Below are 12598 nucleotides of genomic sequence, written 5' to 3'. Positions count from 1 at the left end.
GAACATGTACTTTTTTTTCTTTTTTTTTTTGAGACAGAATCTCATTCTGTCACCCATGCTGGAGTGCAGTGGCGCGATCTCAGCTCACTGCAACCTCCACCTCCTGGGTTCAAGTGATTCTCCTGCGTCAGCCTCCCGAATAGCTGGGACTACAGGCATGTGCCACCACGCCCTGTTAATTTTTTGTATTTTTAGTAGAAATGGGGTTTCACCATATTAGCCAGGATGGTCTTGATCTCCTGACCTCGTGATCCGCCCGCCTCGGCCTCCCGAAGTGCTGGGATTACAGGCATGAGTGACCGCACCCTGCCAAACTTGTACATATTTTTAATCTTCTTGCTGTTCCTAAACAGTATGGCATTACAAGTATTTATACAGCATTTACATTGTATTAGGCATTCAAAGTAATCTAGAGATAAAGTATTCAGGAGATGGGTTTAGGTTACATGCAAATCCCACACCATTTACTAATAAGAGACTTGAACATCTTAGGATCTTGGTTCTCAGGGAGTCCTGGACCGAACCTTCAATGGCTATTGAGGGAAAACTTTATAAATCCAGCATGTTTGCATTTACTATGTCTCAGTTTGTGCTGGAGCTAACTTATTAGACATATTGGACAGAGCTCAAGTAGAAAGGAAAATTGTCCACTGGCCTTTTTTTCCTTTTCATCGGGGCAAATAAAAATAAGAGAAAGAAATTCTTACTTTTTTTTTTTTTTAATTTCAAGAAACATGGATTCAGACACCCTGCGAGTCTTCCAGAATGAGCTCATTTGCTGCATTTGCGTGAACTACTTCATAGACCCGGTCACCACTGACTGTGTGCACAGCTTTTGCAGGCCCTGCCTCTGCCTCTGCTCAGAAGAAGGCAGAGCACCAATGCGCTGCCCTTTGTGCAGAAAAATCTCAGAGAAGCCCAACTTCAACACCAATGTGGCACTCAAAAAGCTGGCTTCCCTAGCCAGACAGACCAGACCTCAGAACATCAACAGCTCAGACAATATCTGTGTGCTCCATGAGGAGACTAAGGAGCTCTTCTGTGAGGCTGACAAGAGATTGCTCTGTGGGCCCTGCTCTGAGTCACCAGAGCACATGGCTCACAGCCACAGCCCAATAGGATGGGCTGCTGAGGAATGCAGGGTACGTGATGCCTCTAAGGCAGTTTGAATTATACAGAATATCAAATAAGAATGATGAGGGCCTGTGATAATGATGGTGATGAGAATGCAGATAGTGGAGGTGGCGATTATTCCATGTCAATCATAACACATAAATGTGTCCTTTCAATGTTGCTGACTAATTTGGCACTCTAATCATAGCTGTGTTGAGACTTCACTAAAGGAGGTTTCCTTAGAAACATTGTTCAAACATATAGGATGGAGCTGTGGAGCTGGTGGCCAGCACCAAGAACACTTTTCAAAGTCAGGTTATGTAAAACCCAGTTTCTCAGAAAATTGATGATATTATCTGAAAGGTCCCTTAAAACTCTCTATTATGTTTCTATCACTTTTCACATCCAAATTATTAGAACCATATTTGTTTAACTTGGAAAAATCTGACCACTCCACTCTAACTTAATTTATGTTTCTTTCAATTACGGCCTTTTTTTTATTGATAAAGGGATAAGATCTACTGTCTTCATCATTGCTAAGCTTCTTGCTTCTTTTGCAAGAGAAACTTATAAAGGAAATGGACTATTTATGGAAAATCAATCAAGAGACACAAAACAATCTAAATCAGGAAACTAGCAAATTTTGTTCATTAGTGGTTAAGAATGAAAATGTTTCCTTTGTTTTTATGCAAATAAACACAAAGTTGGCTTATACTTTTTAGCTAAATTCAAACTACCAGTTAAAAGATAGTGATTTCACCTCAAGAAAATGTAGTGATTTCAATTGATATAATAGGAATTGCAAACAGAGAAGCCCACACAAGCTAGCCAAATTAATTCTAGTATATTGGATAAACGGCATGATGTGTATTCTAGTTCAAATTTGAAGGTTGGCATAAACCTTTTCAGACACTGCAGATGAGACAACCTTTCACTAAGACTGGGTGTCAGGAAGACAAAAGAAATAGAATAGTATATAGAGTAAAAATATAGTAAAAGTAAAAAAATACTGCATAATATGGTGCATGGCTAAATGTTTTTTAACATTTAGGCAAATTAGACATGGAAAAATCCTGAAAGAGAGATTAATAGAGGAAATAATTGACTCAGTAAGAACTGTGAAGAAGCATTACAGTGACGGAAACCAGGAGTCTTTATATTGGTTTGATTTAAAAAGGGAGAGAGAATAGGAACATTGAAAAAGATGGACAGAAAAAGATAGCAAATATTCAAGACTCTTTGCAAGAGTGAAGCAGAAAGTTTATAAATTGCTTGATTACACCCAGCATATAATTATTTGAAGTTTTCTATTGAGAGTGAGAACATGTAATCCTTTTAACCAAACGTCTCTGCAGGACTATGTGTCATTAAGGAAGGTGATAATCACTATTCAGTATCAAAAGATGCATATATTTCTCGATGAGGAGGAGCAACGGCATCTGCAGGCACTGGAAAGAGAAGCAAAAGAGCTTTTCCAACAACTACAAGACAGTCAAGTGAGAATGACCCAACATTTAGAAGGGATGAAAGACATGTACAGAGAGCTGTGGGAGACATACCACATGCCTGACGTGGAGCTGCTCCAGGTGAGGAGGGAGGGTCCATCCTCAGAGACAGGAAGCCTTTGCTGGACAATGCTGCCAGGACATGCAAATGTCATCAGCATATGTCACTGCTCTAAGCTAAGTGACACATGCTGTGTGACTTCCACCATTACATTTTTCCAGTCATTTATTACTGCATACTTTGGTAATCTTTGGGAAATTTTTGCCATTTTAGTAGATAACATATAACAAAGTTCTCTTCAATATAATTTGGAGTACTATCCACAAGAGAGATCATCTAAGATCATTAGAACTCTAGGCCAGGGGAAGGTTAGTAATATCCATGTATATGCCCTAGTTCCTCCTCACTCTCTGATGTCCACACAGCAGTGATTTGCTGAAGACATTGAGGGGTTTCCCCTTGCCTGGGCAAGGTTTGTCAAAGCGGCTCATCAATGTCCATGTACTCTGTTTCTCATATGGTTCTCTGTTTTGTTTTAATAGTTGTCATGTGTGGTCAGACCTTTCCTTGGAAATAAGATTAGGAAATTAATGAGACTGGAAACCTAGGTATCTTTGCTTTACTCCACCGTCTCTTGCTGAGCTCATTTCGTCTTAATGCCCACTGATGAAGCTTTTCATTGTTTAGTTGAGGTTCTGTTATTAACATAGCCTTGAATGATTCCTTAGAGGGGAATAAAAAGATATACATTATTAAAACACTAAAACAGAAAGAAACAAGAGTATGAGAAAAGATGCAGAAGGAAAAATCTCTCATAATTAACATTACATTTTATTTTTTTTGCAGGATGTGGGAAATATATCGGCAAGGTGAGTTTACACTAAAAAAAATGCTATTTCTGAAAAATTTGTTCTCTTGTGAATGAAGGGGATGTATACATTTTGAGTACTAACATCATTCTCAGTGGCTATTTCTGATTTTGTTTCAAAAGAGGGCCTGAGATCTTCTTCTCTTTGGTTTGGAAAGTTTCCATCTTAAAATTTGTATGAATTAAAATATATGTAAAAACAATTTGCCATTCGGAAGTTTGTTCTCCTAATCCATCCTTCCTGTCCAGCCCTACCCCAGAGATCTTAATACAAAATTACTCTGAGGAATCATAGAGGTGTCTTCTACTCTAGAGGGGTGGGAGGTTAAAAAAAAAAAAAGACAGATCGAGGAGAGATATTCCCTAAGGATGGGCTGAGGCGGGATGTTTTGTTCCTAAAAGCATCAATGACCCGGGCTTGCTCCATCACCATACACCCAGTTCTAGGAAAGACCTCAGGAAAATGGTTGCCTCGGGACCCTCAGCAGCAGGGTTCTCAGGCTGGAATTAGACTCCTTTGTTTTGCACAAAAGATTAAAGCCTTTTGTCTCAGCGAACATTCTCTATTAGACACTGACTAGCATTAGTGACAACTGCAGCCTGAGGTCCCAAAGGTTTTTGTCTGAGTTTTCTGCTCTCTGAAATATTTCCAGAATTTCTGCATACCCTCAGGGGGTGTGATGGGCAGAGGGAGGCAATGACTTTTAATGACTTCAGAAGTTGTATAATGTCTGAGAATAACATATCTGGAGAAATTGGGTTTTTATGCAAGTAAAATTTAAAAAAATTAACATCCTTATGGCCCCTAGAGTGTGGAATAAAATGTACATCCAGTTAACCAAAACCGGCAGAATTCTGAGGAAACATCTTATATGAAAATATGATATCTTCATATGACTGTGTGATTAGCTCTGGTCCTGGAAATATAACTGAGGCCATTTTTTTTTTGCAGAACTGATTTGGCACAGATGCCAAAGCCCCAGCCAGTGAACCCAGAGCTCACTTCATGGTGCATAACTGGAGTCCTAGACATGCTCAACAACTTCAGAGGCAAGAGCCAGCTGCTTGGCAGTCCAGCCTCAAATTATTTCCTTATTGGGTCCCTTGGTTGAGGCTTCTCCCATTTACGTTTTATTAGTTTTGACATGTAGGTAATACATAGTTTTCCAAAACATGTGCATCTTCTCTACCTGCATAGTAATATTACAATGATCAAAACTCAATTTCCTGACTTACAGTTTGATGAAAATGTAAAGCAAGATACATACTTTATCTGCAGAATAAGAGGACAAAGAATATTCAGGTCATGTAGTTACGAAGACACTAGTTTTCATGGTGGCATCAGTATTTCATGTTTATTCAATTTAATTCAATCTTAAAGGCTTAGATTTGGCATAATGGTTTTTAATTATTTCTATTCTTTGTGCATTTACATACATTCTATAAGTAATTTTTATTATTTACAAAATCAGAACATTTTGATCAACAAAGAAAATGACTAAAATATCCATAATGAGGACAATTCTAATGCCATCAGAAACATCTCATAACAAGTGAAAGGTGAGGGATCTGTGAACATGGCCTAACAATGTTAGGCCCATTCTAGAGAGCAAGTCTAGGTGGCAGAGGGCAGGAACACAGAGTAGATTGAATCAGGGGCTAAACAGATAATGTAAAGCCAGAGTATTCTTTTCAGAAACTTATAAACTTTACATGTGTTAATTTCTACCAAATTTTTGATGTTTGAGACTATAACAGGCATAACTTACATTCCAATAAATACTCACATCACAGCAAATTGATGTCTACCTGTTGATTATCTTAAAGACAAATAATACAAGAAGATTTTTCTATTGAAGAAAAAAAACATTTTAGATATGTTCTGAAACAAACTATGAAGAGATAGACATTAAATCATTACTTTGCCCAGTGATATGGTCACATTTTTTCTCTATTATTTAAGAAATAATACATAATTGTATATGCTGTAGAGGTATAATAACATTTCATCTTCATGGATGCATGGGGCTGAACTCTCTTGGTTTCCTTTTTTCTGTATTTCCTTGGAAGAAGAGCAAATGAAGTGAATAATTGGGCCACAGAGCCTCTGTCCCTCATAGCACTCACTAATATAATATTTTTTCCTTGTCAGTGGATAATGCTCTGAGTACAGAAATGACTCCTTGCTATATAAGCCTTTCTGAGGATGTGAGACGTGTGATATTTGGAGATGACCATCGCAGTGCACCCATGGATCCCCAAGGAGTGGAGAGCTTTGCTGTGTGGTGTGCGCAAGCATTCACCTCCGGCAAGCATTACTGGGAAGTGGATGTGACCCACTCCTCCAACTGGATTCTGGGAGTCTGTCGAGATTCTAGGACAGCAGATACCAATATAGTTATTGATTCTGACAAAACATTTTTTTCAATTTCTTCAAAGACGAGCAATCACTATAGTCTCTCCACCAATTCTCCACCTTTAATCCAGTATGTGCAAAGGCCTCTGGGTTGGGTTGGGGTGTTTCTGGATTATGATAATGGATCTGTGAGTTTTTTTGATGTTTCTAAAGGTTCTCTTATCTATGGTTTTCCTCCTTCCTCCTTCTCTTCCCCTCTGAGGCCTTTCTTTTGCTTTGGTTGTACATGAAAAGTTGGTTTCATGATGATTTATTGTGAGCTCCCATATATGAGGCAAATAGTGTCCTAAGACCCTATGTGTGAGAGCCTGTGAGCTTATTGTAACTTCATGGAATGTAATTACTTTATGGTTATAAATGGGATAACCACCTTGAATGTGTACATTCGTTAATTAAGTTATTTTAATTAATAACTTATTGTGGAACCTTTACTAGAACATCAATAATGGCTTTTTTTGTACAAGTTTTGTTGAGGTTCATTCACTTACTGTGAAAGTCATGTTCTAATGTATTTAATTCAGAGATTGTTAGTATATCACACTTGAGCAGCCATCAGAACTCTCTACTGCCTGTACACTTTTATCACTTCCAGAAGAATCCCAATACCCATAAACATTTATTCTCCATTCACCCTCCCCCATTCCTTCAGAACACTTAATCTACTTTTTATGTTTTTGCATTCAGGTAAATAAAATCATACAATATAAGTTCTTTTTTAAATCTGATTTATTTTTCAGAGAGTATGTTTTCAGTTTGTACACACTGTAAACCGTTTGTCTTACTTGTATATTTGAACCAGGCTGGGGTAGAAAACTGAACTGGTGGATATCTTATCTTACAAAGAATAAAGAAGTGTGCTTATTTTCTTTCTAAGACTGACCAAGTTAAGTTGACCTCACAGACTTTATTATTTCTCAACATCCTAGTTATTAATCGCATTTCAGCTCATACAACAGTTTTTCAGTGCTGGGTTGCTCTGCTATTACATCTTCTCGAGTATATTATATCAGATTATAACATTCAGAAAACTCTTATACTTATTACTACCAGATTGAAAATTCCAAGGTGGCAATGGCAGTATTTGTCTTCTTTGCTAATATATTACCATTATCGAATGCGATTTTTAGAATAGATTACACAATAAATAAAATGAATAAATGGATAAGTAGAGGAGTTAACATGTATAAATATTATTCTAACATTAAGAAACTTTTCCAAAATGTAAGTAACAAAATAGGATAGAACATACTAATGAGTATCTATCAAAAGATAAGAAATAAATTGATTTTTGGATTGATATCAAAGATAATACTATTATGTTAGGGTTTAAAATAATTGTAGCATAATTTTTATAGGATTGATTTCAATTGTCTTAGGTTTTTTAATATAAACCATTGAAAAATGAAGGTTCCTATATAAGATGATGGGGAACAGGAGCAGGACTTAGAGTAGTGGAGACTGGACTTAAACTGACATATAAATTTAATTACTAAGCATAAAGTGGTATAAACCTTCTTACGCAGTAGAAAGAACAAAATTAGTTTACACTTTAAATAAGAATCCAGATGATACAGAATGGAAAATTCTATAATAGAATGTAATAGCTACGTCTCCCAGGGCACCAGCTTATCTTCTCTAACAAAGACCACAAATTTGAAACGATTCAGAAGGTGCATTTCTCTAACATGTTTTTACCAATATAGGAGTTGGTCAAGAAGAAGACTGACATCTTCAACAAGTGAATTTTATCTCTGTGTGCAGGAAACTCCCATTTATTGCCATGTCCCATGCAGCAGGAAAGCCAGAAGAAAAGTAGGAGGGACAAGAGTATTTGGCTTTAAGGAAATCACCTGGTGTTTTTCACAATGCATTTATTCCCATCCTATAGGTTCAAAATTAGGCAGATGGCACACCAAGTTGTAAGATATATCTGGGAATGCGGTTTACACTCAAAACCATATTTATTCTTATCATTTGATTCAGAAAACAAATTAAATGACTGGCACAACTGAAAATAACCCAAGAGATTTGTTCAATGAAACAAAGCTGAACCTCAACCAAATAGATAAGCTGCTGCCTAAGATTAGCACAATTTCTTAGTATTCAAGAGTGAGTAAACCCTGCTTTTTACCACTGTCGAGGTGTCCAGTGTTGTCCTTTTTAGAGCATGGCTAGCTGAGGGTTAGATGGCAAGAAACATCATACTTGTATTTTACTCCCTTAAATGAATGATTTAGATAGGAATGATTCTCCAAATTTTGAAAACACTTATCAGAAATGTTCTCTTATTCCTTCACTCTATACCATGTAGACTATAATAAACTGTCTCTCTTCTGCCTTCACACATTTCATGCAGAACATTAGGGGTTAGCAGAGAGAGAGCTTATCACCAGCTTCTTTTGGACTCGCTGCTTTTTTCCAAGCGATCTGAGATGATAAAATTATTCACCTTAGGGCTCCAACCCAGCACTCCTTTTTTGATTTTCACCTATGTTTTGTGAGCTTTTCTGTTGATGCTAGAACTCTATGCAACAGTCAATGCCTCATAATTTAATTACATTATTTGTTCCTAGTTTTCAAGGAAAAATTTATTCCTGACATTCTTTTAATTTAGCTCAGATTCACTTTGCAGAAAGACAGTATTAGCTACTTTATGATCATTTAGTATTTGACTCTGATTTTGGAAGATGAAAAAGTTTTTTTGTCTATTTACCATGTTTTCTCAACCATTTAACCAAGATAATCTTATTCTATTGATTCTCCTAGAGATACTTAATTCATTTATTCTCTTCACCTGTCAGAATTTATGTTAGAATATCACCAAGAATTACTTACAATTGAAATAAATCAGAGAGACCACTAAGAACATTGTCAATCATTAATCCAGAAATCTTGAACTTTCTGAGTTTTTTATCCCTAAAAGAAGTTATTTATCAATAGCCTGGTTACAGATTTTTTATGGAGGCTGAGGCAGGATAATCACTTGAACCAAGGAGGCAAAGATAGTAATGAATGGAGATCATGCCACTGCATTCTAGCCTTGGTGACAGACTGAGTGAGACTCTGCCTCAGTGAATAAATAAACAAATAAATAAATAAATAAATAAAATCATCTCTTGAATGGAGGGTGAAAAAGGAGTATAACACGAGGACTTGGGGGAAAATATGCATTAGAAGGGAAGGAGAACATACTTAACATGCCAGTGGAAGATGAAATTCTAAATATCTGAGAATATTTTTGAGAACTATGTTTAATTCTCACTATAGAAAGATGTACCCTTTGAATGACATTAAAAATTCACTAGAAGAGTGAAGAATAATAGTTAAAATGTCACATAAGTAACAAGAGTCTCAAAACATAAAGTGTTCTAAAAGTTTAAAGTCCGTATTTGAGATAGAGGAGAGAATAAATAATAGTTCATTAATTAGACTTTATTATGTGAAAAGACTTTTCTAAAATTCTTCCATAATAATTGAAGATATAAATTACAATAATTAAAAGTTACAAAAGAATAAAAGCATTAAAATAAATTGTGACAATTTTAAAAAAGAGTAAAGTTGAAAATTATTTAATTTTTAATCCCAATAATCCGAAAGTGATTTTATCAATGTCCTAAGAAAATTAAAATAAAAACAAACTTAATAATGTAAAAGAAGGGAGGTTTCCGCCGGGCTGGGGGAGGGAGCTAGGGCTTCTCTGGGGACTCAGTAGTGAGAAGCATGGACCTTGGCGGGCCCCAGGCTTTCCCGGACGGTGCCGCGATCCCCCGCCCACGCCTCCGGCATGGTGCTGCTGGCTGGGACTCGGCCGCAGGGTGGCGAGGCGCGCTGCATGATCCCGCCACCGCCATCCCCACTCCTAGGCGCGCAGGTCGAGGAGGACCGCACTGAATTCAAAGAGTTCCAGGACTTCTCCAGTCTGCCCGACACTCGCAGCGTCGCCTCTGACGACTCTTTGTACCCTTTCCAGGACGAGGAGGAGCACGGCGTCGAGGGCGTGGAGAGCGTACCGGAGGAGGGCATCCTGGAGGCGTGGGGCAGCTGCGGACGCTGGTGCGGTGTGGGGTGAGCTTTAAGAAGGCGCAGGAGACTGACCACAATGGCTGGACGGGCCTTAATGTCGCCTGATACCACGACTTTGTGGATATACCGTGGTGGCCTTAGCTGAGTACCCCCACATTGATGTCAACTGGCAGGACAGGGAGGGGAACGCAGCCCTAATCATAGCTGCACAGGCAGGAACTGCCCCTGGCCCCATGGGCACAGTTGCCTTAGACACTGGCTCTCAGCCTTGCCCTTCCTGCGTCAGCATCACCTGGGCTGGTTCATTTGAGCTTTAACACAGATCTGGTGGAAACGGGCTGCCAGGCCCTGCCGCTGGAGTCTTTCTTTGAATAGGCCTGGGGTGGGGCCCAAGAATGGGCAGAAGAACAGGCTTCCTGGTGAGGCTGATACCGCTGGCCCAGGGATCCCACGTTGAGGACGGAGGGCTTTGAGTTTTCATGCCTGATGATGGCCAGGAACCCTTCTCAGTAGGCATTGAAGACCAGCAGAGTCCCAGACCCCAGGAGAGATGTCGTCAGACGGACACAGGCATCACGGAATTAAAGTGAAAATGAAGAAAGGAGCTGAGCATCTGTTTCATGACTTCCCTGCGTTGTTTTACTAAAGAAGCTGTTCTGGCCCAGTCAGGGCAGGCTATCATCACCAACTACTTGTTGAACTATGTCCTGGGTCTTGACCTTGAAGGAGGGATGAGTTTGGGTTGAAAACCGCCATGCAGGGTCGAACCGATCACATCGGAGCCCTGAGCTAGCAGGGGCGGGTGTCCACACGAGGGTCCCTGCCGTGGGATGTCGCCAGAGGAGTGGCCACTTACACGTCCGCCTCATGCAGAGGCTCTTGGAGCACCCCTGCCAGGAGCGGTTGGGGGAAAAGTACCAGCTTGAGCTGCCTCCGCTCCACGAGAGGGCGCAGAAGCCCGAGGGCTCCAAAAACTGCCTGCAGAGGGTCAGGGACTGCGAGCTGTCCGCGCTGACGCCGCGCGCCGTGCGTGGCCCAGAGGACCGGGGCGCCCTGGACCACATAGTCAGGATGACCACCAGCCTCTAACAGCACCGCCGTGGCCTTCGCGTGCCAGACCGTGTGCCCCGAGAGCACCCTGTGCGTGGGGAAGAGGCGGCTGGCGGTGCAGGAAATCCTGGCGACTCAGGAAATTCTGGCGGCGTGGCGTGGGGTCGGTGGGGGCGGCAGGCGCAGGTGGCGGGCGAAACGGAGGGCGCAGAGCAGCACAAGCGGCCTGGCCTAGAGGCGGCGGGCTCCCGTGAGGAATCCCCAAGAGCCGGCCTCCCACCTGCCCCGCTGCCGGGGTCCTGGGGCTCTGCCGACCCCTCCCCGCGGAAGGCTAGCCTCCTGCCCCTGCAGCGCCTGCGGCGGAGCAGCTTGTGGCCAGGCACGGTGGTGCCCCGGGTCCGCCTCAGCAAGGCACCCGGGCCCACCTTCCAGCCCAAGAGGCCAGCGCGGAAGGGCAGCACCAAGGACAGCGGCCACCTGCGGATACCCAAGTGGCCTAACAAGGTGGCCAAGGAGGAGAAACCGGAGGCGGAGGAGGCCGAGAAGAAGCGCCAGGCCAAGGTGCAGGAGAAGCGCCCGCTGCTTTGGAAGAAGAGGACGTGAGAGTCCGCGGGTGCTTGACACGGTGTGAGGGCAGGGCAAGGCCACGGGGCTGGGCACCATGGCAGCTCCCGGGACCACCGGGCCGCGTGTATTTCCGCGCTGTCTCTCTAGGATGCTCCCAGGAAGGGGCTGGGGGAGCCACATCGATTCGCCTGACAGCAGCCACCCTAGCAATCAGTACACCTAGCGGGCATGTTGCCTAAAAGGCTCCCTTTAGAGAACCTCAATTAAGATGTTTTTAAAGATCAATTTATTAGGCCGGGCGCTGTGGCTCAAGCCTGTAATCCCAGCACTTTGGGAGGCCAAGGCAGGCGGATCTCCTGAGGTTGGGAGTTTGAGACTAGCATGACCAACATGGAGAAACCCCGTCTCTACTACAAATACAAAATTAGCTGTGCATGGTGGCACAACTACTCGGAAGGCTGAGGCAGGAGAATCGCTTGAACCCTGGAGGCAGAGGTGGCAGGCAGCCAAGATCGTGCCATTGCACTCCGGCCTGGGCAACGAGAGCCAAACTCTGTCTCAATTAAAAAAAATCAATTTATTAAAGGGTATTTTCTGTGTAATTTTGTATTTTTAATCGTTATCCAATTTGCCAATTTTTACAAGTTATAGGACCCCTTGTATCCAAGGCAGCTTTAATACGCTTGCCTGAAGACCTTTTATTTAAAATACTGTTCCTAGCAATAAATATTTATGATATCTGTAGGAGTTTACACAGAAATCATGGGATTCTCTCCTTTTGGGCTGTTTGCTTTGGTCTTTTCTTCTCATCATGGGTGCACGTGCACACTGGGTGTTTTTATTAATTAGATTAAGTGATGCTGGATATTTCTATTTGTTGGAAGGATTGACTCGTTCAGCCACATGATCAAGTGAGACAGAGAGATCAGATTTTATTGTTTCTTTTTAAAAAGTGTTACCCATACCTCATATATTGGGGAAAGACTTTTATCGTCAAATTATAAAACAATGCAAAGATAAGCATGTATGTATTGCTAGAATTAAAGTCATTTTAA

General features: G+C 41.2%; 1 protein-coding gene and 1 pseudogene across 1 annotated transcript; both read left to right on the top strand.

Moving 5' to 3' along the window:
- Window positions 1-734: 734 nt before the first annotated feature.
- On the top strand, window positions 735-6133 carry TRIM64C (tripartite motif containing 64C). The gene is made up of 6 exons (NM_001206631.1): window positions 735-1146; window positions 1675-1769; window positions 2469-2699; window positions 3466-3488; window positions 4440-4537; window positions 5640-6133. The coding sequence occupies exons 1-6, from the start codon at window positions 735-737 to the stop codon at window positions 6131-6133; spliced, it is 1353 nt and encodes a 450-aa protein (NP_001193560.1).
- Window positions 6134-9687: 3554 nt separating this feature from the next.
- ANKRD33BP3 (ANKRD33B pseudogene 3) lies at window positions 9688-11579 on the top strand (annotated as a pseudogene).
- The last annotated feature ends 1019 nt before the right edge of the window (window positions 11580-12598 follow it).

The sequence above is a fragment of the Homo sapiens genome, chromosome 11, assembly GCF_000001405.40.
Source record: "Homo sapiens chromosome 11, GRCh38.p14 Primary Assembly".
NCBI lineage: Eukaryota > Metazoa > Chordata > Mammalia > Primates > Hominidae > Homo > Homo sapiens.
Note: the sequence above shows the minus strand (reverse complement) of the source record. Positions and strands in the feature narration are given on the sequence as shown.